A 26,775-nucleotide genomic window follows, 5' to 3' on the forward strand; every position below is an offset into this window, starting at 1 on the left:
CACACCCAACTAATTTTTTTTATCTTTTATTTTTTTGTAGAGATGAGGTCTCACTATGTTGCCCAGCCTGGTCTTGAACTATTGGTCTCAAGCAATTCTCCCACCTCGGTCTCCCAAAGTGCTAGGATTACAGGCATGAACCACTGCACCTGGTCTATAAAATTCTTAGCTGGCAAAGACATTAGTTATCAGGGCTTGCTTTCCAGATGCTTCCAAATGTACAGGTCAGTAACTGGGAGCAAGAACTTATAAGAATGGTGCCCAGAAAAGAGGCCCAAGGGAGTCTGAAGAAGCAGGAGGTCCAATGGAGCTCTAAAGAGAAACCTATTCCATCTCTAATTTTGCCCAAAGCTGCCTTCCTTTGACCCTAAGATTCCTCCTGGGCTATAACCACAAAGAGATAGGACAATTCTGTGCATTGTCAAGTTGTACAGGCAGTAAGCAGGATCCCTGAAGCCTCTAAGAATGGAAGGCAGTGAACAAGCTGGTTCTTGGGGGAATTCAGCTCCACCCTAATAAGGGGGCTGACTGGCAGCATGTGGTGAGCCAGACAGGCTCCTGTGGGGATCAACTGACAGTGGAGGGATTTCCACTTCGATTTCACAGTCACAGGGCAGTGACTGAGTCCTGATGGTTCAGCACCCTCTTTACATGAGTAACTGCTAAAAGGAGTATGGCCAGTGACTAATTGGAAAATTTCATTATTAGATTCCCTAGTCCCAAGTGAGCCACTCAGTAGCCATATCTTCAGGGACACTTATACCTGACCTCTCTTAGGACACATGATTATTTTTAGCAGCCTGACTTTTTTATATTGAGGAATTCAGTTTAATATCAATGTACTAGCTGGGCGATGGTATAGGCTGATGCCTGTAATCCAAGCACTTTGGGAAGCCGAGGCAGGCAGATCACGAGGTCAAGAGATCAAGACTATCCTGGTCCACATGGTGAAATCCCGTCTCTACTAAAAATACAAAAATTACCTGGGTGTGGTGGCGCATGCCTGTAGTCCCAGCTACTTGGTAGGCTGAGGCAGGAGAATCACTTGAACCCAGGAGGCGGAGGTTGCAGTGAGCCTAGATTGTGCCACTGCACCCCAGCCTGGAGACAGAGCAAGACTCCATCTCAAAAAAAAAAAAAAAGAAAAAGATAAAGAAAAAAATATATATGTATATATCTCAATGTACCCTTGTTTTCAATGTCTCTTTTCCTTGCTGCAATTTCCACACCATTTCCTGGCTTGGAATAAACCCACATTTGTTGTAATTGAGCTGACTGGCCATGGCTGAGAGATTGCGGGTATTGTTTCCCCACTCTAAATAAGGTCTTCATTGCATTTTATAAAACATAGACTTTTTAAGGGGAATGTCTCACTAAAATTGCATTGATGGCTGTTGCTGTGCTACCGGCTCAGCTGGATATGAGAAAGCACCACTGTGACTTTTTCCTATGCTTCATATTAGTGTCAGCTGAGAATCATTTTTTATCCTATTCACTTCCTGTGAAAAGGGATGATTTGGCCTTAGCATAAGACAATTTTAAGAAACCTAATTGGAAGCAAAATTGCTCTCTTATTGCAAGAGAGTTTTCACATATCCAAATGCCAATGGTGACAGCTTTGCAGTATTTCTCTGCTTTTAATAATATAATTTTAGGGGAAAAATAGTAAGAGACATCGCAATGCAATGAAAATACCACCTGCCAATGCTTTTCCCACCACTGGTATCTTATATTCCTTATCCATGTGATGCCAGCAAGCGAGACATGGAAACTCGAGGAAAAGCGAGAGGATCCTGCCATGTATCTGTTTTGTTTTGGTTTGGTTTTTTATTCTTACATGCTAATGATTGTAGTAAAGATCTGAAGTTTATGGTAGTCATCAATGTGATATTTTAATAGAGAAATCACATGAGCCTTAGATACATACATAACTAATTTTGCTTGTAAACTCATTGAGACATGGGTCATGTCTCTGATTAGTTCAGTCAAGATCTCAGCAATGAATGAGTGAAGCCAGACCAAGAAAACTGGTTTTTTGAGTAAAATTGTATATTTCAAAGAACTGTTCTGGTGTCACGGAGACAGAGCCATAGAAAAATTCCTATGGCTTGCTGAATCAGGGACCTTGATAATAATGGGGAAAATAAATTCCTGGAAATGATCTCTCACCAAAGACTGACCCTAACATCAGTATAGTTTGAAATGTCACCTACTTGATATTCTACCCTTTGCTGCCTATGTGCACAAACACGCAGCTACAGCAAACGTGATGAATAACAGAGGACAGGGACCGGGTATGTGCTTATTTTTATCTGGGTTCCATACCTTGAATGGCAGCTCGATTCCATAGGAGAAGCGCCATTGGATACATCTTCTCTTTTTCAAGAATGTTAGCCTTTTCTAAAAAGAGGAGACATTCCATTAGGAAGGCTTAAAATGCCTCTGTAGTAAAGTCATACATGCATATGTATGATTGGGGGATTGCAGAGAATTTTAACTCATCTTACTAGATTCCAAAATGAATGCTGAATTGCTTTGAGCTACTTCATACCCCATTTCTGCAAGCAGTGCATACTGAACAAGAGAAGAATCTATATCACCATCCTTATAGGCAAAGTAAGCTGTCAGGAATTTCTCAGCCCAGTGGCCTAGTTCACAGACACCTTTATAAAGCTGTACATGAGAGGAGAAATCAAGGAGACTAGTTAGCCAGTATGCTTCACCCCAGGCAAATGAGAAAGGAAATCAGTCTTCAGCTCCTACCAGCTGGTCAGGGAAGGATTTTAGGTCTAAAACATGGCTTTTGCAAATTATTTAGGGTAAAGAGTTAATACCTTTTATAGGCACAAAGATCAGAAGTGTTTGGGTTTGTTTTGTTTTGTTTTTGTCTTGAGGGAAACTTCCTCAGCCTTATTTTAAATTTGTATAATAAACTTTCCTGACTTGGAGGCTATTTGGAAGAATAAGAATGTATCGCTAGTGTGTGTGTCTGTGTGTGTGTGTGTGTGTGTGTGTGTTCTTAAAGGGACTTTCTGAGCACTGCTGCTCTGCGAGGGCAAGTTATAAGGCCACAGCTGATGTGAAAAGGAGAGAATGAAGGAAAGACAGTGCCGGAGGGTGTAGGTGACATAACTGTGAGAGAGGTGTGCAGAGCCCTAGGGGGACAAATGTCAACTTAGCTGAATAGCCCTTATGTAACCAAAAGAGGTTAGCCATACATAATTCATTAGGAAGTTGGCAAAGGAGCAAATCTAAAGATAGATCATTAGCTGGCAGCTTTTGAAATAAGCTTCAGAGGGGCCAGATTGCAACATAGAGTATTTATGCTGGTGTAGCAGACGTGTTTAATAAATCAATGAAGGACATTAAGGTCCTAAAAGCATTCTTTTGGAAAGCGCATCACTGGCTCAGGCTGAAAGAATTCACTTTCTCAATTGTCATCCAAATCATCAAAAACCTAAGGATGCTGCTTTCTGGGAAGAAGTGGGCTACATTTTCTAGGCTAAATCTAGCCTTTTGGTTCCCAAGTAGCAACTCCCAATCCCACTAGAAGTGCCAAATTGCCCTGGTGATTTGATTGAATGCTGAAACAGAGCTCCTTAACTGCATGTTGAGGTGAGCTCTGAACCTGATGAAAAGCCAAATGTCAGAGAGAGGAGAGATCTTTTCTCTGTCTCCCTTCCCCAACCTGAGTTACATCACTGCTTTTCCCCTCTGACAAATGTCAGTATTCACATTGTCAACTGGAAGAAAAGAGGTAATATTTATAAAATCAAAGACACCAACAATTTAAGAACAGTATCACCTCCTCTGTGTCATATATGACAAGTGCTTTAAAAACAGCCGCATATTATATTTACCTCCACAGCAGTTCTGCATGATCTTACTACTCCTGTTCCTGTTGCATACATCTTGGCCAGATAATAAATGGCAAGGGGCTGCCCACTCTGAGATGCCAGGTAAAAATATTTGAAGGCAAGTTTATAATCCTTCCATATTCCAGAGCCAGCTGAAAATTAAAATTGTTTTGAGCCACCCCTTATTGACTTTATTTTTTATATTATAATCTATGGATATAATAGTCATAGTGATGCCTGCTATTTAAATAGAATGGGAAAAGCCAACCAAAAGTCAAGCTACTCTAAATCCACTATTTGTGAAGGTGGGGGTGAACACTGAGTTTGGTTCTAAGTAAGAATATGGAAATTTATATTCTTGAGCCATTCTGAAAAAAAAATTGAGAAAGAAGGACTACTTCGTCTTATGAAAGTATCTCCTCACTATGGCATAACTAAAATTAATGCAAAGGAGACCAAGTGATGGTCTCTGAGGACCCGAAGCGCCACCATGATTTATCTCGCCATCTTTGTGATCCTTCCATATCAGGACACCCATATAGCTTCTCCCAGCCATGACTATGGCGTATGCAGCAGGTAAATCCCAGCTCCAAGAAGCCGAACTCTCACCAAACTCCTGCTTAGAGCAAGAATAGGCACTTGAAGCTAGAGCAGAGAACCAGCAGACTCCCAGCAGCCAAGATTCTTGTCCTGGCTCTCTCATTAGTTCTTTTGTGACTTGGGCCATTTAGGCACTTTATTTGCAAAAGTGAAGGCTTTCCTTAGATGGTCTTTAAGTTATCTTCCAGCTCTAACACTGGAGCCTTTAGAAGCAGTGCCATGTAGCGATTAAGAGCAAAAGCTCTGGAGGCAAATTGCTTGAATTTGAATTCCAGCTCCACAACTGTGTGATCCTGGGCAAGATGTCCAACCACAACATTGGCTTAGTTTGCTCATCACAGTGGATACACTGTGGGATACCCGGTAGATGTTGAGAGGGTCAAATGAGTTGAGAGGGTCAAATGAGTTAAAACATACGAAATGAGTTAAAACATACGAAGACTTAATATACATTAGCCATGACTATTTTTCTTATTCTAGAAACTTGGGAAATCTGGTAGATCCCAAGCCAAGGACTTGGAATGAACTAGAAGAACAAGGCCATCTTAGGCAACCTCAACCCCCCAAGATAGTACAAAACAGGTGCTCCTGCTGGGCCACCGTGGAAAATGCCAGTGACCCCTTGACCGGATGTGACCTCCTTGATGATGTGGTCTGCTGCTGCCCTGGCTCCTCCTCTGACATGAAGGACTTGGTGGGGATACTCAGGTATGTTCATATCTCCTGGTATTTGTCTTGGCCACTTCCTCTCTCACTCCCCACAGAGATTGTTACAAACTTTCATGGCTTTCTAAGACCTCCTAGCCAACCACTCTACCTTTGCTCACAGAAGTCAACTTTGTACCTACTAGATCATTGAAGAAAACTTCATATTGTCTTTCCTCACTCACCTCTCTCCCCATCCCATTCCCCCATACTTAGATTCGCATCATCCTTTCCACCCTCTCTCCAGTCTTTGAGGGTAAGCAATCCTGTCTATCTATCACGGTTAAAGAGGCTTCCACTGATCTGTGCCTAATCAGGTGCTAATACCACCAATGTTTTTCAGAATCTCTTTCCATCAATTATAATTATGCTCAGGTCTCTTCATCTTAAAAGTAACTCCCTCTGGGTCCTAGTCCCCCTGATGCTGAGTTCCTTCTCTTTCCTTCCCTTTAAGGGCATGCTGCTTGCAAGAATACTTTTATTTCTCAACTTCCTGATCTTCCGTTCATGCCGTTGGCATGCGGCTTCCACCCCAAGCAGTCCAATGACCTCACCCACAGTCTCTGTATTGCCAAGTCTCATACATATTTCATTCTTTCTTACTTTTTTTTTTTTTTTTTGAGATGGAGTCTCACTCTGTTGCCCATGTTGGAATGCAGTGGCGTGATCTAGGCTCACTGCAACCTCCACCTCCTGGGTTCAAGCAATTTGATTCTGCCTCAGCCTCCCGAGTAGCTGGGACTACAGGCAGCCGCCACCATGCCAGGCTAATTTTTGTATTTTTAGTAGACACGGGGTTTCACCATATTGGCCAGGCTGGTCTCGAATTCGTGATCCGCCCGCCTCGGCCTCCCAAAGTGCTAGGATTACAGGCGTGAGCCACCACGCCCGGCCTCTTACTTGTTTTTTAAACCAGGTTTCTCACTGCATTTCACAGGGGTGCCCATTCATTTACTCTTCCTTGAAAGTTCTTCCCTTGGCTCCATTAAGATCTTTTTTTTTTTTTGTTCCCTATTCCGCTGAGCTTGGCTTTCCATTCTTCTCAGTGATGTACTTCCCCTGCCTACCCTTCAATACAGCACGGAGGATCACTAGTTATCTACCATGGCCCACTGCTCTTTCCTCTCACCCTCTTGCTCCTTTCCTTTTGCAACCTCAACTACTCTTAACTAATAGCTGCGTGCTGATGCCTCTCGAACCTTCTCTGTAAGTTTGACCTTTCTCGTGAGTGTCGTACTTGCTTCTGGGGATGTGCACGGGATATCGCTAGCACCTCCAACTTAACCTTGTCAAAGATAAGCTTCCTGACTCTGCACCTCCTTGTCCCCCCTCCCAACCAGTGTCCTTTTCTTTAGGCTTTTTCAAATTCTTATTTAATTTGTTGCCTAAATGTTCTGTCTAAACCACTCACACCAAACCTTTGATGTTTGTTATAAAAGAAGCAGACTTAATAATGCATATGTCATTCTAAATAAAGCAGCTGTATTTGTGGCACTTACAGTAGTACATGAAGCCTAACTGGAACTGTGCGTCGGGCCACCCTTTTTCCGCAGCTTTCTGAAAGTATTTAAGTGCTTCGGCATAATTCTGCAAGATAATTACACTCTATTACTCAAAGGCACAAGTAAAACTCCATGGAAACAATTGCCTTCCACTTCTTAAAAAGAGTATAGACAGTGCCCTATGTGATTTAGGGTAATTAAAATAGTATCAGAAACATTATATATTTTATTTCATTATTATATTAGACTCTATTAGGAAATAATGCCTCATTTTCATCATAATTATGTCTTTTTCTACATTGACAGTAAGTTTTGTTAGATATTGGGGGAAGGTCACTCAAAAGACTATGAAGATAAATTTCTCCATCAATAAAGTCCTCAGAGGATAGATGATTTCTAAGGTTACTTAGAATCTATGATTCTAAGCTATAATTAGAATTACTATTCTTGTCACAAGCTTGTTCTTCAGTGTCTCTTTGGCAGAGATTTCACTGGATTATTTTATTCTCTATTATCTGATATCACAGTTTGGCAAACCAGATAATAGAGATAAATTCCTTTAAACTAATGAATGACCATGAATTTTACCCTGTAAATTGCTACAAATAAAAAGATAATAAAATAATTTAACTTACCAGGGGAACTCCTTTTCCATGAAAGTAAAGAAGACCAAGCCCATGAAGGCCGATTGCATTGCCCTAGAAGAGTTTTATAAAGCCAAGTAAAGTCCCAGAAGAATTCATGATAAGGAAAATTACTGCAAAATTTTTCAAAATATTTGACATGCACCCAGTAAGAGATTAATCAAGGCAGTTGGCAGGTTATTCTGACCCACTCTAGTTCCTCCTTTTATACTTTCATAAACCTTCTGGCTAGAAAAGGGAAGAGGGAAACAGAAGTCAAACCTTTCCTCCATTCTTGTATTCAACACTTATTTAGGACTTGTTTTGTGTATGATTCCATAGTAGGCACTGGGCAGAGGTAGCAGGTGAAAGGTAAAAGATGAAGAAGCCATGATCCCTGCCTTGAAGAGTTCACACGCTAGGGGGCTCTGAGCCATATCAAAGGGGAGGGGCAGGTCAGACCTCTTAGAGTCCTGTCAAATGTGGTAAGTCCTAAAGTTGAAATAGATTGAGGCCGGGCATGGTGGCCCATGCCTGTAATCCCAGCACTTAGGGAGGCCAAGGTGGGCAGATCACCTGAGGTCAGGAGTTCGAGACCATCCTGGCCAACATGGTGAAACCCTGTCTCTACTAAAAATGTAAAAATTAGCTGGGTGTGGTGGCACACACCTGTAATCCCAGCTACTTGGGAAGCTGAGGCAGGAGAATTGCTTGAACCCATGGAGTGGAGGTTGCAGTGAGCCGAGATTGCGCCACTTCACTCCAGCCTGGGCGAAAGATCAAAACTCCATCTCAAAAAAAAAAAAAAAAAAAAAAGAAATAGATTGAGAGTGTTGCAGACACCTAGAAGAGGGACACTCTATTGCCTGATTTAGACTAGGAATTGAAGGAGATCAAGTTGTCAGGGGTGGTGACATTTGAGCTAGGTCTTAAAGGATGTGTAGGAGTTTTCCAGAAGGGAGAAGTCTATCCAGACACTTGTTACCTACTCAGGTCTACAGAGGTTGACGTAAATGGCCTAATCACATTTTAGAGACTCTGTGGATTACAATCCAGCCACTACAGATAGTAAAGCATCGTTGGTATATTTCTTTATTCAAATTTATTGCTTATAACATCCCCGATGTTTCCTTTTCCACTTGATGCTAAATTAATTACTATTTATTTTCTGATTAATATTGGAATACTCTAAGGAAGGGAGTATTTAGCACATTTAGTATTCAGCACATGTTCAAATATATTGATATTTAGCATATCAATTTTGGATGAAGAGTGAACCTTGAAAGTGACTTACTCAAGGAGAAAACTCCTTTTTCTTTCCATGTCCTATCACGCATTTCACCCTCTAGTGACTACAGTAAGAAACCATGATTGACCACCTGACTTTCTTTTTTTTTTTTTGAGACGGAGTCTCACTCTGTTGCCCAGGCTGGAGTGCAGTGAGGTGATCTCGGCTCACTGCAACCTCTGCTTCCCTGGTTCAAACTATTCTCCTGCCTCAGCCTCCTGAGTAACTGGGATTACAGGTGCACGCCACCATGCCCAGCTGTTTTTCGTATTTTTAATAGAGATGGGGTTTCATCATGTTGGCCAGGCAGGTCTCAAACTCCTAGCCTCAAGTGATCCACCCATCTCAGCTTCCCAAAGTGGTGGGATTACAGGCGTGAGACACCGCACCCTGCCGACCAACTGACTTTGATTCAGCAGATCTGTAGGTATGTTTTACAGGTTCCTAGTATTTCTGCAGGAACTTATGTTCTAATAAAAAGCTCTCCAAATTTCTTCTTACCACCTACATTTAGTTATTGTAGATGCAGCCGGAGTAACCCTCAGTAACACAGGAATAGCACATAAATAGAGAAGGCATATTTCAAAAGTGGTTTCAAGACTCCAAATTTTGAGCCTATCATATGAAATGATCTGCTATTGTAAGGGTTCTTAAGGACAGTCCATCTGTATTTAAAACAGGTGGTATAACTCTGCTCTCTTCTTCCCTCTTCTCTCCTGGCTATATCTCCTGTGGTTCTGGGAGTCTTGAGTTGCTCTGCTCTGGAAGTAGTAAGGATCAGTGTGATGGATGTGGCAAAGTCTAGTGAGTCTGTCTTCTTCTAATTAGCCTTGTTTAGATGTCATCTTGAATTGTAGTTCCTATAATCCCCATGCATCATGGGAGAGACCTGGTGGGAGGTAATTGAATCATGGGGGCGGTTACCCCCGTGCTGCTGTTCCTGTGATAGTGAGTGAGTTCTCATGCGATCTGATGGCTTTATAAGGGGCTTTTCCCTCTTTTGCTCGGCACTTCTCCTTGCTGCCGCCATGTGAAGAAGGACGTGGTTGCTTTCCCTTCTGCCATGATTGTACATTTTCTGAGGCCTCCCCAGCAATGCTGAACTGTGAGCCAATTAAATCTCTTTCCTTTATAAATTACCCAGTCTTGGGTATGTCTTTATTAGCAATGTGAGAACGGACTAATACAGAAGGGAAGGAAACAGATATGAAAGGAGGGAAGGAAGAAGGGAGAGAGAAAGGAGAAATGTTAGAATAGCAGGGACAAATTACTTTCTCCTCTAAGGGAGTCCCTGGGATCCCAGGGACTCAGTGAATTACCCATCACTGTTTAAGGCCCAGTGTGCCTATTTAGAACTTGTCAGGCGAAGAGTGGCCAGTTCAGACACCTGCAGGAACCATGCCGGTGATATAAGAAATAAAATATGCCAGGTAGTGGAGACAGTGGTGCAGATGGAGACACGTGGAGTCCCTGCCCTGTGTGAAGGCAGCAGCAGCTCTCAGTTCCTCTGCTCCAGCTGGTTGGTGCCACATGGAATGGCAGTCCTGTTTCATCAGCGTTTGCCATTTTCTTTTTTCTTTTTTTTTTTTTTTGAGACAGACTCTTGCTCTATCACCCATGCTGGAGTGCTGTGGAGTGATCTCAGCTCACTGCAACCTTTGCCTCCTGGGTTTAAGTGAGTTTCATGCCTCAGCCTCCCAAGTAGCTGGGATTACAGGCATGCACCCCCATGCCTGGCTAATTTTGTACTTTCTGTAGACACGGGATTTCACCATGTTGACCAGGCTGGTCTCGAACTCCTGACCTCAAGTGATCCACCAGCCTCAGCCTCCCAAAGTGCTGGGATTTACAGGTGTGAGCCACCATGCCTAGCTAGCTTTTGCCATTTTCAAGAAAAGCTAGATGTTTAGATTTGGATGTGAATTTTACTCATTTATTTTTATTTATTTATTTATTTATTTTTTGAGACAGAGTCTTGCTCTGTTGCCAGGCTGGAGTGCAGTGGCATGATCTCAGTTCACTACAACCTCTTCCTCCCGGGTTTAAGTGATTCTCCTGCCTCAGCCTCCTGAGTAGCTGGGACTATAGGCATGTGCCACCATGCCCAGCTAATTTTTGTATTTTTAGTAGAGATGGGGTTTCACCATGTTGGCCAGGATGGTCTCGATCTCTTGACCTGGTGATCCGCCTGCCTCAGCCTCCCAAAGTGTTGGGATTACAGGCGTGATCCACCATGCCTGGCCAGTTTACTGATTTTTAAAACACTTTCTGGGCCAGAAAAGCCATATGTATAGCCAAACCCTGCAGTATACACCTGCTGTTTCAGGGTGTAATGCTCTTGCTTAGGTTAGCTGACATGAAGCCAGGGAGCAGACAGGCATTTCTTTGGCAAATATTTAATAATCCCCTGCCCTGGACCCCTTTATTTAATAACCCCCTGGCAGGACCTTTGCCCTCCTCTAGTTGAGGACACATGGCCTTTGGACAGGAGGGGAGAAGCCACAGGTAGGAAGCAGTTAAATCCCAGCAGCAGGAGTGAACGCAGGGTAAGTTCAGAACAGGAAAGAGATCATGTGAGCCAGCAAGGGCAGGGGCAGCTCTGTGGATGAAGGGAGGATTGGGCTCCGCTCTGGGGATGAGTAGGACTTAGAATAAGAGAGTCTGGGAAGGGGAGGCAGATGACAAAAGTATGGAGATGGGGACGGGCCTGACATGCTCAGGGCGCAAGAGAGAACTGGAGGAATGTGGTCCAACATGGGCACAACGTCACATACAGTCACTGTGCTTGTTTCTAAGTAAATAAGACAAAAGATGTTGTAAAATGTGTAGCTCTGTGTCATGGTATTGATATCATTTAAAAACAAATTTAGAAAGCAGTTTTTAAAAAAGTAGTAAGAGTGAGAAATCTAATAAATTGTTCAGGCGCTGATCAAGAAGTATGTGGCCATCTCCACCTAATGCCATTTAGAATAATTACCTTAATTGTAAGTTCAGATTTCCTTTGTAAAGGAAAGTAGCTCGGGTTCAGCGCACCGGAGACCCAGATCACTGCTGGTTGGTTCCACAACCCTGAATAGCTTGGAATCTGAGTTAATTTACATTCCCATCTCCCTGGCATTATTCTTATGGGCTGACAAATCAGTGTTATTTGCCAGATGATAAGAGATTTTCCATGTTACTCCTTTTCAGTCTGCTCTTCCTTGTCATCCTAATCTAATGGTACTTCAGATAACTGCCTTTCTGAGCAACAATTCCATATAAATTACAAAGGAGAGGAGCAGAGTACTAGCCTTCTCAGTAATTTACACCACAATAGCAGCAGCTCTGAGGTGGTAGTCACTTATAAATAGGCTCCTAAAGCAGTGTGTGGGTTTTTAAAAACTGAGAACAGTTGAAATGATTCCTGGTTTGAGCACATCTTTACTGCCAGTGTTCCAGTATGCAACTGTAAGACAACAAAATGCTTCCTACTGTGCAGGGTTAGAAAGTTTACCAAGGCCATTCGCCAAGAGCAGGCCGATGGGTGTGGGATGAGGGCATTTTTTATGCATGAAAGGGATTCAAAGGAGTCTACTAAGTCTTATCTGACAGATACCAGCCTCACGGACCCCAGGAGCAGAGGCAAAGACTTCGATGCAGGAGGCATATTATACCATTTCGATCGTCCCTCATACAGCTAATTCATTCTGTCTGGGATGTGCTTCGAAGTTCACTCCACTTTACTGGCCCCAGACTGCAAAAGATAAAAGCGCCCTTACTGTGTGCCAGGCACTGCTTTAAGTACTTCACAATATGAATGAAGCATAGCCTTGTGAGCAGCTGGGACTACAGGTATGTGCCAGCATGCCAGGCTAATTTTTGTATTTTTTGTAGAAATGGGGTTTCACCATGTTGCCCAGGCTGGTCTCAAACTCCTGAGCTCAAGCAATCTGCCTGTTTCAGCCTCCCAAAGTGTTGGGATTACAAGCGTGAGCCACTGTGCCTGGCAGGCAAATATTCTTAAATTCCCATTTTACAGATGGGGAAATTGAGGCACAGAGAGGCTAAGTAACTTGCCCTTGTTCACACAGCTAGTCAGTTTTAGGGCTGCCATTCAAGCCAGGGATTCTGTCTCCAGATCCCTATTCTCAGTCGCCTTGCCCTGGCCTCCTCCCTGACAAGCTCCCGCCTGGGCCAGAGGGAGCTCTGGCCTTTGGATGAGATGAGACTGGAGAAAACTGGACATTCCTAGGATGTCTTTGTCTTGAACTTCCTGCAGCTATTGATTGGATTTTCCCTTCCTCTGTCCTCATCTCTTTTGTTTCCTGTTCCTAAGCTAGATGGCCTCATCTACTGCATAAGGGAGAGGGGAAAGCTGAACTTCTGTCTGGCTGAACTTCTGTCTGGCCTCCTCCTGGCCTCTGCTAGGGCAGCACAAGCCACTGCCATTTTTCATTTTCCAAGAAGGCAAGTTGTAGCTTCCCTTACTCCCATCACCAGTATTATACTTCTCCAGGACACAAAACTCCTTACAGGCCCATTATCTGGGCTTGGGACTTCGAAGTCAATTCTTTGGCACCAGTCTGCGTGTAATAAAAGCAATTTGTGTGTATGTGTTTACAACAGTGCATTGAGGACATACCTTACTGGCTGCCATGGAAAAGTACTTGAAGGCAGTAGCGTTATTTTGCGGCACGGCAGCATTCCCCTCTAAATACATCTAGGAAGAAAAATGAAAAGAGGATAGAAAAAACAAAATAATTTGAGAGTAATGCAAATATTTTAAAATGAAATAGAGGTAACAGTGGTACAACATATTGAATGTAGTAAATGCCACTGTAAATGCCACTGAATTGTATAAAGTGGTCAATTTTGTGTTATTTACATATTTACATTTTACCTCAATTTAAAACAAGAAAAAGTAAGAGTACCATTTATTACAGACTTCTGGAGTGACCCTGCCTGAGGGCAAAGAAATGGACCCTGTTTGTGTTTTCTCTCTCTCTCTCTCTTTTTTTTTTTTTTTTTTTTGCATCTACATTTACTGTATGTTGCACTTAGGAAGCAGGACATTCGTCCCTATGGTTACTAATGCAAATCGGCTGCAGGGAGCCAAGGGTGGCACACAGGGGAGTGAATAGTCTTTGAAGGAGACAGAAGAACATGCCTTTCCAGAGGAACCCTCCACCAGGCTACTCTGCAGCCACAGGAGGCCTCTCATCAGAGGTGGCATAAGGATAGCTCTGGTCAGCCTGGAGCTGATTCACACTCCAGCAGTAGAGCAGAGAAGGGCCTGATTGGGCTGAGACCTGTCCCGGTCTCCAGTGCTCAACCAACCTGGATCTCCTCTTACATATTGGGGAGTGGGGTGGTCATAGGCTCATAGCTACGCTCAGAGGAGGAGCCCTGGGCCAGGTGCACATTTTTATTTTATTTTTTATTTTTGGAGACGGAGTCTCCCTCTGTTGCCCAGGCTGGAGAGCAGTGGCGTGATCTCAGCTCACTGCACCCTCTGCCTCCCAGGTTCAAGTGATTCTCCTGCCTCAGCCTCCCAAGTAGCTGGGATTACAGGCACCCGCCACCACACCTAGCTAATTTTTGTAGTTTTAGTAGAGACGGGGGTTTCACCATGTTGGCCAGGCTGGTCTTGAACTCCTGACCTCAAACAATCCACCTGCCTCAGCCTCCCAAAGTGCTGGGATTACAGGCGTGAGCCACCGTGCCCGGCCAAGGTGCACTTTTAAGGCTGCTTTTGGTGCCCCAGATAAAGGCTGCTGTTATATGGGGCTTCTTCCCAAACTGTCACCTCAAGAATATCACCCTCGGGTTGCAGCCAGATGTCCCACTTAGCCGCTTCCGTGAAAGAGGCCTGCTGCCCTGTCCCTCTACAATGGGTTCAATGAGCTGGTATCATTAATTTGTTAGATTTTTAATTTTTAAATTTAAATTTTAATTATTTTGAGATGAGGGTCTTGCCGTGTTGCCCAGGCTGGTTGCCTGTGCTCAATGATCTTTCCACCTCAACTTCCCAAGTAGCTGGGACAACAGGCACACGCTGCTATGCCCAGTTTAATTTCTTAGGTTTTTAATAAATGAAAACAATGAATCAAGATGAAGCATGTACCTTTCCTATAAATGCCATGGCATTTGCACTCCCGGCCTTTGCTGCCTTTAAGAAGTAGTGTAATGCTTTCTGGAGAGAAAAGGAACAGTGTTATTGCTAGTCACAAAATAAATCCTTCAAAATAGCTTTTTGAACCAAACTTTATTCAATATGCATTCAAAAAATATCTATGGTGCTTGCCACTGAGCTTAAAAAAAATCTGTGAAATGCCCATTTTGTTCAAGGCACTATTCCAACCAAATGCATTTTCAACCATAACCTGAGGAGTGGGAGAGTGTCTATATCTCTTTCTTACATATAATTTTATAACATGAGGACTTGCTTCTTACATTTGGAAAGCCACGATGGGAATGTCGCTTTGTAGGGTGAGATGAATCCCAGCTGTGAAGCTAAATAGTCCATTATTTTGAAAAGCAGGCTTCTCTGTTGACACTGTGTACTTAATGAGGTTTTACTGTGGTTGGCAGAATTGGATACACAGTTTGCTAATGTTTGTAGGCAGAGTAAGACCAGACACACTTGGCCGGCTGCTGAGATCAGGTCTTTATGCAGAAGTGAGCTTTGAGACAATTCCTTCTGACTCAAATTGAAGGAGGCCAGTAAAGCCTCTGATTTTGTCTAGGTCGTTACATTAAATGAAGCACTCTGTCTAGAACACATAAGGGCTGACCTTGTCCCTTGCTGCCACACTCCCTAGGCCTCATCTCGACCTTCCGGAAAGCCCCTCCTTGGAAACCATGTAGAGCAATAAAAGAAATCAGCCTCAAGAATGTGGTATGAAACCGCTCTTTTTTTTTTTTTCGAGACGGAGTCTCACTCTGTCGCCCAGGCTGGAGTGCAGTGGCACGATCTCGGCTCACTGCAACCTCCATCTTCTGGGTTCAAGTGATTCTCCTGCCTCAGCCTTCTGAGTAGCTGGGATTACAGGCGCCCCCACCCACAATGCCTGGCTATGAAGCCACTTTTTAAAGTGTCTTGTTAGGATACGACCTTTCTGCTCTTTAAAAAGTCTTGATCAGGTTGATGTGCAAAGACGTTCCTTCTCAAAGAGAAGAGAATGTTTAAGGAAGAACTGCTGGTAGTTATTTTACATGGAAGTTTGCTGTAGGAATGTTGCTAACTTCTTTGTGGGCATAAGTACAAATGCTGCCACAGTTAAACCTCATGGCGTCATGCATCCATTCATCCATCCAGCTCTTCCAATCTTCATTTACCCTTTCAAAAACTTGACTGAAGCCTGCTATATATAGGATAGTATGTTACGTATTATAGATGATTCATAGATAAACAGAAACATGATTCCTACATTTGCTCCCTAGCAATGTTCCTGAGAAAGAAAATATATATAAACAGCAGTGAGATAGTAGGTAATAGGTGGTATAAAAGAAACTCCATAAGGAATTAGAAGGGAATAGAATAAAAGACATTGTATCCAGTTCTCCTATAAGTTTTTGCAAACTTTTTCTTACCTAATCTTCACAATAGCACCATCAGAGGGTATTATTAATATCTGATCTTATTACCAACATGTCAGAGTCATGCTGTTAGTACTGCAGATCAATAAGCAGCTCACCACTCTGTCTCCACAGTATACAGAGGAGGGCTAAAATGATCGAGGCCTCATGAAAGATGGTGACAAGTCACCAGTACAGAGGCTAGGGGAAGAACCTGAGCAAACGAATGGGGATGGGAGTGGCCAAGATGTGTTCAGAAAATAGTGATTACTTCGGCGTGGCTGAAATAGAACATCCAAAAGCTAAGACTTGCAAAAATAAGATGGCGCCATTACTATAAACAATCTTGAAGACTAAGCTAAGGATTTTATTTTTTTAATTAAAAAAAATTTTTTTGAGACAGAGTCTTGCTCTGTCACCCAGGCTGGAGTGAAGTGGTATGATCTTGGTTCACTGCAACCTCCACCTCCTGGGTTCAAGCGATTCTCCTGCCTCGGCTTCCTGAGTAGGTGGGACTACAGGTGCGTGACCACCACAACTGGCTCATTTTTGTATTTTTAGTAGAGATGGGGTTTTGCCATGTTTGCCAGGCTGATCTTGAACTCCTGACCTCAGGTGATCCTCCCATTTCGACCTCCCATAGTGCTGGGATTACAGGTGTGAGCCATCACACCTAGACGTAAGGATTTTACTTTATTTTATTTTAAAAAATAGAAAATAGAAGCCACTGAAGATCTATAAATGTTAGGGAATCCTGAAGATAAAATGCCTGGAATCATCCAAGTGTCAGCTGGAGAGGAGAAAGTTATAGCAATGTACAAGTTACTAAATGAGAGAACACTAATATCAAAAATAAAAGTGTATCTCATGAATCTCTCTACTGAGCCATGACCAAAATATGTCCCCAGGTAACTGTGTAAATTACACAAATCACATTATCTCCTGGGCTTGGTTTCCTTATTCAGATTCTCCTCCTCTGTGATCTCACGGCACCTCATCCTGTCCGTATTGTGGCATTCATCCATTGATTTCATTATTGACTTATTTTGTCTCCTCCAATGTTGAATCCTCTGTACTTAGCATAGTGTGGGCTATATGTTAGGCACCAGGAAATGTTTCAGAAATGAATAAATGTATGAATGTCTATCCATCTCTAAAACAAGGCAGCTGGACTTTAATCTTTATAGGCTCTTCTAGCTCTAGTATTATGATTCTGTAAAATCATTTTCAAAGTCCAGTTTAGTAATTTGGCTCTCAAATATCTTGTAATAGAGACTTCTGAAAAAAGTTTCATTCTGGGAAATCAGTGAAATTTTAAAAGAAAGTAACTTGTTCTCCTGAAGCAAATATAAATCCTGGAGTTTTCCCCACCCTTAAATATAATGATTTGATAAAGACCTAAAGGAATTGAGACTCTGTCTCATACACTGCTCCACTGTCATGGCTTACTTAGTATTTCATTCCCTTTTTTTTTCTCATTTTTAAATTTACATGTCCTTAATACTATTGCTTCAACTATATAAACCTTTATTAAACACCACGTGAAACTACCACCAAGCAAGCTACCTTGATGGATATACACGAGCCAACCTGAGTTCTTGCTCTTGAAGAGTTAAGATCAAGTACTCATCCATCCATCCATCCATCCATCCATCCATCCATCCATTCATCCATCCTTCCTTCAAATATTAACTGAGCACCCAACATCATATTTCACTGATTCTAAGATGTACATCTCCTCCCACCTCACTTCCATCAGGACATATTATAATATATATTGGTAAGTTTTCTTTTTTTCTTCCTCAGAACATAAAATACTTGTGTGTCTTACAATTGGTGGTGTCTTAGTATGAAATATAGTACGCCCCAGGTATTACACTAAGTAAGTAAAGTTTTATTATTTGGACCCATATCTCTCTTTTTAAAAAATGATCATGATTTTTCATTGGCTCTAAGAAAATCTGTAGTTTAACCAGTTTGTAACATTTCCCCTAGAATGAAATGCCAAGAAAATGTACTGTTCTAAAAACATTTATGAATATATATGTATTTTCTTTTTGAGATGGAGTCTCACTCTGTCGCCAGGCTGGAGGGCAGTTGCGCAATCTCAGCTCACTGTTACCTCTGCCTCCCAGATTCAAGCGATTCTCCTGCCTCAGCCTCCTGAGTGGCTGGGACTACAGGCGTGCACCACCATGCCCAGCTAATTTTTGTATTTTTAGTAGAGACGGGGTTTCACCATGTTGGCCAAGATGGTCTCAATCTCTTGACCTCATGATCTGCCCGCCTCAGCTTCCCAAAGTACTGGGATTGCAGGCGTGAGCCACCGTGCCTGGCCTGAATACTTCTTTTATCTCTTGCTCTGTAGAACATCCTGAGAAAAGATGGTATTAGCTCTTTTTCTAAATTTTTAAATGGGTGGTAGGATAGACAAAGCAGTTGCCCTTACAAATTTGATATTATTCCTCTGCTAGGTTTAATTTAATTACGCTTTATCCATTTTAATAATATTCACCCAAACATCCCGCTTTCCTAATCCAATTTATTCTGAGCCTTCATATATTTAGAAATGCAAATAAAATTAAAATCTATGTGTAGAAAATCCAAGATAATGTAATCAAGAATTGCATATACAATATTTTTCACTAATTAAGAATTTGGTCAGGGAGAGGGTAAAAACGTTTTCTGTGATGACAACTCATGAGAGAGATTAGTTCAACCAAACAGTGAGGAAGGAAAAGAAAGGCAAGCTAGTCATTTCCAGGTATCTTGAAATTTAATTTTCTGAGCAGTGGACTGGAGCATCATATTTAAAGAGAGACTTATACTAATAATTCTCTTTGGTGGACTGAAATATTAGCATGCTGGCTCAAGTGGTGGTCTTCAGGCTGAGGACTATAGTTAAAAATAAGATATTGTATATTTCAAAATAACTAGAAGAGAGGATTTTGAATGTTCTCACCCCAAAGAAATGACAAGTATTTGTGGTGATGGATTTGCAAATTACCCTGGTTTGATCATTACATAATGTATACACTACATTTGCATACATATGTATATATTACATAATGAATATATTATGTAATGATCAAAACATCACATTGTATCCCATAAATATGTACAATTATTATGAGTCAATTAAAAAAGAAAATAAAAAGAAAAGAAAACATTATCCTGTCTGAGGAGGAGAGACTTGGAAAGATGAGAAGCGAGGTATGAAAAGAGCTGCAGTAATAGCCTTTTGGAAACTGGATTTATCTTTGTATCTTCCCTCTCCCTTATGTATCTCCCCTGCCATTCCAAGTTGATTCTGGAGCAGCTACACTATGGTATGTTGCAAGAATGACCACAGTACTTTGCAGCTCTGCCCATTGAGAGGAGAAGCCCATTTCCCTACCCCTCCAAGTTTGCTGGCCTTGTGATTTGCTTTGGCCAAAAGAATGTGGCAGAAGTGACTTGTCAGTTCTGAGCTCAGGCCTCAAGAGACTTCTGCTCTGGTGTTCTTAGAACTTTGACTGCCATGTGGAAAGCTTGGGCCAGTTGGCTAAAGCATGAGACCACATGGAGAGGGGCCCCAGTCATTCTCGCAGTCACAGATGAAGCCATCATAAACCAGCCAGCTCTAGCTAATGTTCCAGCTAACTGCAGATGCATGAGCAAGCCCAGCTAAGATTAGCTGAGCCTGGCCCAGATCAGAATTGCTCAGCTGAGGCTAACCAAAATTGCTGACCTGCCAAAATCATGAATTAAATAAATGGTTATTATTGAAAACCACCTAAGTTTGGGACTATTTTTTTAAAAATGCAGACAAAGATAACTGATAGATAAGTCAATTTGTCTTTTTTTTTTTTTTTTTTTTTTGAGACGGAGTCTCGCTCTGTCGCCCAGGCTGGAGTGCAGTGGCGGGATCTCGGCTCACTGCAAGCTCCGCCTCCCGGGTTCACGCCATTCTCCTGCCTCAGCCTCCCAAGTAGCTGGGACTACAGGCGCCCGCCACTACGCCCGGCTAATTTTTTTTGTGTGTTTTTAGTAGAGACGGGGTTTCACCGTTTTAGCCAGGATGGTCTCGATCTCCTGACCTCGTGATCCGCCCGCCTCGGCCTCCCAAAGTGCTGGGATTACAGGCGTGAGCCACCGCGCCTGGCCTCAATTTGTCTTAAAGTTTGAGATTTCAACTGGAGTTCTCCATTCAAGTTCAGGGTCATTAGGCTGAGGGGAGAAGAAAGGACCAGCCTGTGCTTACCCGCAAAGAGTACCTGCATCACAAGGATGGTTCTGGAATTAAACTCGTCTTCTTGGGATATGTGGAAGCAGGAGGCCCAACCCACTATCAGGAAGAGCTAAAGGAAACTGAGAGATCATGTCATTTCTTCTTCTTGCTTTATAAATGAGGGAACAGATTTTAGAGGCTGTTTTTTGTTTTGGCCTGGGTCAAATAAAGTTTAATGTAAAAAGCTCAGGTTTTGATTTCTGAAGGCCTGAGTTCAAATTCTGCTTCTTAAACAATCTTACTTCCCAGCTGTGAGCCTTGAAGCAATTTACTTTATGTCTCCAGCCTCTGCTTCTCATTTGTAAAACAGATGTAATAAAACCTCGTGAATGAGCCCACAGGAGATCCTGGCTGGGCTCCTGGGTGACACTCAGCTGCCTGGCTGCTACACAACAGCTCTGGGATCCTGCAACAGCAGCCCTGGGATTGCACTTCATCCTCACCTGGAGGCAGCTGCAGCTGCCATCTGGTGACCACAGTGGCTGGAGCTGACTGAAGTACCAACTTAGTGGGATTTTATTGCACTGTACAAAGATTGGTTTGTCTTCCCTACAGCTGAAGCTAGGATGCCCTCACATCCAAATTTCATGTTTATGGAAAATGAGGACGTCTTCCTAGTTACATATTCTATGATTAACATGAGAAACTCATTGCAGGCTGAAATCTGACAGAGTAAAATTATGAATCCAGATATTTCCATCTAAGAAGCTAGAACTTTGGTTATGATTAAGATGAAAGAAAATCTATGGATCTTCAACCGAGCTGTCTTGGGGTGCGTATGCTTATTTAAATTCCTACCTATTTTATCACAGTTTATGAAATGACTTCGACATTTACCTGATGTTTACTGGATCTCATATAAAATACAAATTATAGTACCAAAGACACATCCATAAAATAACACAAAATGAAATGCAAAGTAGTAACAGATTACTTTTTTACGTAATAGCCTTATAAAGTTGTTTCTATCACTTAGCCATTGGGACTATGTTGAAATAGGCTACATGTTCCTTTGAGACAAGGAGCATGTGGCTCCTATAAATGAAAAGAGCAGCAAAATCATCTTTAAAAAAAAAAATCCAGTTACTTCCCAGGTCTGTGGTGATGTAGGGCCTTGAAACCACTATCAAAATCTAAGCAAGAACTCATCCCATGACCCTGGCATCTTACAGAGGAGGATCCTGTGTATGTCAAGGTGAAGTTCATTTGTTCATTTGCTTTTTTCTTCGCTACACATTTGAATGGTTAATTAACTTATTTATTTTTTTTATTTTTTTATTTTTAGAGGGAGTCTGGCTCTGTCACCCAGACTGTAGTGCAGTGGCATGATCTGGGCTCACTGCAACCTGTGCCTCCCAGGTGCAAGTGATTCTCCTGCCTCAGCTTCCCGAGTAGCTGAGATTACAGGCACGTGCCACCACGCCCGGCTAATTTTTTGTAATTTTAGTAGAGACGGGGTTTCACCGTGTTCGCCAGGATGGACTCAATATCCTGATCTCGTGATCCGCCTGCCTCAGCCTCCCAAAGTGCTGAGATTACAGGCATGAGCCACCGTACCTGGCCGGTTAATTAACCTTTTAACCTCACTGGGATAAGGTAAGGTTAAGCAAAATGATTGAAAAGAGCTTTGCAAATGTATAAGGATGTTTAATATATTTTTAATTATATTAAAAGCAATCTGTCTTCTGATATAGCCAAATGGGGATGAAGTTGCCTCTCAGACTCCTTAACGGTGATCCCCAGGTGGACTCTGCAGCTGGCCTTGTGTGCAGGCCGGCAGGTGGGGATATTCTCTCTCCTAATCCCAGCCCAAAGTGCGTGTGAGTGCGCAGAACTAGGTTCTGTTGGAACATGGATACCCCCCTGCCTCGATTGCTCCTCAGAAGTCCCTTCCCCTTTGTTCTTGAAGGCAGGTGGGTAAGTGCTCCCTCTGGAGAACTTAGTTCTTCCTAAGAAGCTGGGAAGCATAGCTGACCAAGGAAGCATCAGTGGGCTTTCTGAGCAACTCTTCCACCTCTCCCTCCCCCTGCTTTCACTTCCCTGCCAGCCTCCCTCACCACTACCTTCCCCACCCCATTTGACTGGATCTTGAGATTGACTTACGTAGTAATCCTGATCTAGACCTTTCCTGCCAATTAGATGTAATTGTCCAAGAGAGACCTAGGAATGATGAGTTTGGAAATGATTTTAGCAGCAGTATTACTTTAAATAAAGAAAACATTTATGTGGTGATTTTACTTTAGTATGTTGATTGTTGGACACGTTTGAAATGTCCTGAAAAAATCAGGGAAACATTCCAGACTATATCATTTATTGGGTAATTGGTTGCTGCTGGACATATGGCTTCCTTAGTGGCTGGAAGCTGGTCTTCTGGGGTACAGAAACACCCAGGCACATAAAGCTAGGGGCCTTAGCTCTTGGCTCTCAAAGATCATGCAAATACTGTCCCATTCCCAAAAACAGAACCTTTCTGGATTGCCGTAGTTTATTCATACTAAAACCAACATTGGGGTTGGGCGCAGTGGCTCACGCCTGTAATCCCAGCACTTTGGGAGGCCGAGATGGGCAGATCACGAGGTCAGGAGATCGAGACCATCCTGGCTAACATGGTGAAACCCTGTCTCTACTAAAAATACAAAAAATTAGCCAGGCGTGGTGGTGTGGGCACCTGTAGTCCCAGCTACTTGGGAGGCTGAGGCAGGAGAATGGTGTGAACTCGGGAGGCGGAGCTTGCAGTGAGCCGAGATTGTGCCACTGCACTCCAGCCCGGGCGACAGAGTGAGACTCCAACTCAAAAAAAAAAAAAATTAATTTTTAAGGAAGAAATGCAAAAAAGTTGCTATTATTATGGCAACTAGTTCTCCAGTGGGCTACAGGAACTGTAAGTAGCAGGGAACAAAACAGGAGTAGGGTGAGAGAGGAGGGCGGGTCTCCCCCCATTCCTATTTAGGATGGGGCATTGTTCATCCCTCCAGGACTCAGAAAGAATTAAGCCCCTTGTAATTTTCATGTTCTAAAAACTCAATCTCATCTGTATACATTACTTGTATCTGAACATCTCCTCTTTCTGCCAAAAATTTATAGTATTGGTATATGTCCCAATCCAAAATCTCACTGTTAGAACTCAGATTTTCAGGTCTTTCCGTTAGTCTCACTTTTTCCACTGGAACACCTTCACTTTTTTCAAATGTGTCAGCAACTGTGAATAAAAACAAGCCAGAGAATAGCTAGAAAACAGAGGCTGCAAGAGATAACAGTCAATTTAGAGAAAACACCGTTAGCTTATTATCTTAAATTGTGCAGAAATCTGTTCAACTAATAGAGACAGAAGATCCATGAAAAATAGAAATTTTCAGATTTTTGGCCAGGTGCGGTTGCTCATGTCTGTAATCCCAGCACTTTGGGAGGCAGAGGCGGGCAAATCACTTGAGGTTAGGAGTTTGAGACCTGCCTGGCCAACATGGTGAAACCCCGTCTCTACTAAAAATACAAAAATTAGCCAGGTATGGTGGTGCACACCTGTAATCCCAGATACCTGGGAAGCTGAGGCATGAGAATCACTTGAACCCAGGAGGCAGAGGCTGCAGTGAGCCGAGATTGAGCCACTGTGCTCCAACATGGATGACAGAGGGATACTCTGTCTCAAAAAAAAAAAAAAGTGCAATTTTTGTTTATTGGGTTCTCTAGTTCTTCTTTGCAACCTATACAAGTATGGTATCAACTTATATCAGACTCTACTGAAGATCTTGACCAAAAAGACTCAAGGAAAGGGGATATTTTAGGAGCAGATAACTCATTCCATTCATAATTTTTTTCTGGGACTAAGACTATAATATAGGAATAATCACTGCTCTTTAATTACTTCCTATGGATAGTCTGAAAATAAATATAAAGATAGATATGCTTGAATACACCTAACAAAGTGTGCAGTTTGAAATATATATAGTAATTCCAATTTCATTAAACACATGAAATGATCTCATTATATACAGCATCTTAAATTCAAAACTAGTTTTTTTCCTCCTTCTTTCTTTTCTCAGATCCTAATAATGCCAAAGATGTGTGCTTAGACATTATTCTGATTACATTTAGACTAATGGTTGCTTGAATTGTTCTCATATGTGGTGACAGATACCTCCAATGTATACCTTACATTCATTCCTTTAGGAATTTTTGGCAGTCATCCCATATTCTGAATGTTATATTTAGGGAAACTGCTTAATATTTATCGGTGCTACATTCAAATTCTCAGTAAGGAAAGAACATCACAAAGGCAAGTAAAACAGAATTGTTTGGGGATACATATTAACAAAAATAAAAAATGAGTATAATCTTTTAAAACCATTTGGAAAGTAACTATTAAGGAAACAGAAACTGTATTATGTTAAAAGAATTGTATTATAACATATTAAAAACGTACACTTTTGATATTTTCATAAGTTTATATCAATTGAACTGTTATTGATTTATTTTTCTAATTCCTTGGCAACTGTTTATTTTAAAATAAATTATGTGGATTACTTACTATAATCTGCCACTTTCTTGTAATAACTTAGGGCAACTTCACAATTCTGTAGAACATTGATTCCCGACAAATATCTGTACCCCTAAAACACAGACAGATGCATTCTTAATATTCAAGACAATGCTGTATTTATGGCATACAAATTTGGTTCCAAGAATATTTTGTTTACAAACCAAAATCATCTGGGACATCATGTTTCCTCCAGCACTTCCAAAGGTGTAATATATCAGTGCCTAAAGTAAAAACAAACAAACAAAAAACCCCCCAAACCAGGTTGGCCATTTAAATTTGAAACTCAAACCAAGTATTCCATTTTTATTCCTAGCTCCATAATGACCCATTGAGTTACTCCAAAATAAATTTCAAATTTCACTCTCCTTTGTAAAGATGTTTGCCATTTATTAGGGGTTAACTAATCTCTGGAGTCTGTGATAAGGGCATTGTATAAGATATTTCATTTAATCATCATAATTTCCTTATGAAGCAGATATTATCTATCTTCAATGAAGAGGCTGACTCATGAGGCTTTAAGAAACTTATGGCATAAGAACACTAAATTTCTTTGACTATTAAGTTGGTGTTTTCAACTACTACACTAGAGTGAGCCCCTTTACTTAATGAGTAGATTTTATTCAATGTCCCTTTTAGAGAAATCAATTTTGTTCCAGAATAAAACAGAATGATCTTTACCTTAGCTTGATCATATTCCATTCCTATTCCATAAGAAGACAAAAATCCTAATGCCTAAAGCACAAAAGAAGAAACAAAATTTAATAAATCAATTTATTTCCTAATTATCTATATGGATAAGGGATATCTTAAATGTCTGCTTCATAATAATTTGCATTGTTAATTTCTTTCTTTCTCTTTTTTTTTTTTTTTTTTTTTGAGACAGAGTCTCACTCTGTCGCCCAGGCTGAAGTGCAGTGGCGAGATCTCGGCTCACTGCAATCTCTGCCTCCAGGGTTCAAGTGATTCTCCTGCCTCAGTCTCTCGAGTAGCTGGGACTACAGGCTCCAGCCACCACGCCCCGCTATTTTTTTTTTTTTTTGTATTTTTAGTAGAGATGGGGCTTCACCCTGTTGGCCAGGATGGTCTTGATCTCCTGACCTCGTGATCTACCCGCCTCGGCCTCCCAAAGTGTTGGGATTACAGGCGTGAGCCACTGCTCCCGGCCTCTTTCTTTTCTTTTCTTTTTTTTTTTTTTGAGACGAAATTTCAGTCTTGTTGCCCAGGCTGGAGTGCAATGGTGCAGTCTCAGCCCACTGCAACCTCTACCTCCTGGGTTCAAGTGATTTTTCCTGCCTCAGCTGCCCAAGTAGCTGGAATTACAGGTGCCCACCACCACACTGGCTAATTTTTGTATTTTTAGTAGAGATGGGGTTTCACCATGTTGGCCAGGCTGGTCTCAGCTGACCAGATGGGGTTTCATCTAAGGCCAGGCTGACCTCAAGTGACCCACCTGCCTCGGCCTCCCAAAGTGCTGGGATTACAGGCGTGAGCCACCACGCCTGGCCATTGTTAATTTATTTTTTATACTATAACAGCACCCTTTTACATTTTTATTAAGGCTGCAGGAATTTGGGAAAGCTCACAATAGTGGGAGGTTTGTGTAATATACATGAATATAGGCTAATTCTTACTGTGCTTTAGTATAAATTATAGCAATAAAACCAAGGGCCCTTATATACTTTCCTTTCTTGGAAACGAAATATTTTTCCTTCAATATTTAAAACATTTAGGCTGGGTGCGGTGGCTCACACCTGTAATCCCAGCACTTTGGGAGGCTGAGGTGGGTGGATCACGAGGTCAGGAGATCGAGACCATCCTGGCTAACACAGTGAAACC

At 42.0% G+C, this 26,775-nt stretch overlaps 1 protein-coding gene across 26 annotated transcripts in view; it reads right to left on the minus strand.

Annotated features, from left to right (window-relative positions):
• The window catches only part of SEL1L2 (SEL1L2 adaptor subunit of SYVN1 ubiquitin ligase), a 146,087-nt gene that overhangs the window by 13,595 nt on the left and 105,717 nt on the right, over positions 1 to 26,775 (minus strand). For 11 of the 26 annotated variants that reach the window (NR_073206.2, XR_937159.2, XM_006723650.3 and 8 more), the window contains 12 exons: positions 25,618 to 25,671; positions 25,101 to 25,160; positions 24,928 to 25,009; positions 23,447 to 23,601; positions 22,506 to 22,562; positions 14,679 to 14,747; positions 13,197 to 13,274; positions 7,300 to 7,362; positions 6,662 to 6,749; positions 3,861 to 4,009; positions 2,508 to 2,673; positions 2,326 to 2,400 (listed from right to left, as the gene is read on the minus strand). Coding sequence is in view for 20 of the 26 variants with exons in the window: in XM_006723650.3 (XP_006723713.1) it covers positions 2,326 to 2,400; positions 2,508 to 2,673; positions 3,861 to 4,009; positions 6,662 to 6,749; positions 7,300 to 7,362; positions 13,197 to 13,274; positions 14,679 to 14,747; positions 22,506 to 22,562; positions 23,447 to 23,601; positions 24,928 to 25,009; positions 25,101 to 25,160; positions 25,618 to 25,671 (1,096 nt within the window). In the remaining 6 variants the exon portion in view is untranslated. Of the gene's footprint in view, positions 1 to 2,324; positions 2,401 to 2,507; positions 2,674 to 3,860; positions 4,010 to 6,661; positions 6,750 to 7,299; positions 7,363 to 12,183; positions 12,309 to 13,196; positions 13,275 to 14,678; positions 14,748 to 22,505; positions 22,563 to 23,446; positions 23,602 to 24,927; positions 25,010 to 25,100; positions 25,161 to 25,617; positions 25,672 to 26,775 lie in introns of those variants that run through there. The other 15 variants (NR_073207.2, XR_937162.2, NM_001271539.2 and 12 more) reach the window with 10 other exon arrangements.

Source organism: Homo sapiens, chromosome 20, assembly GCF_000001405.40.
Source record: "Homo sapiens chromosome 20, GRCh38.p14 Primary Assembly".
NCBI classification, from domain to species: Eukaryota; Metazoa; Chordata; class Mammalia; order Primates; family Hominidae; genus Homo; species Homo sapiens.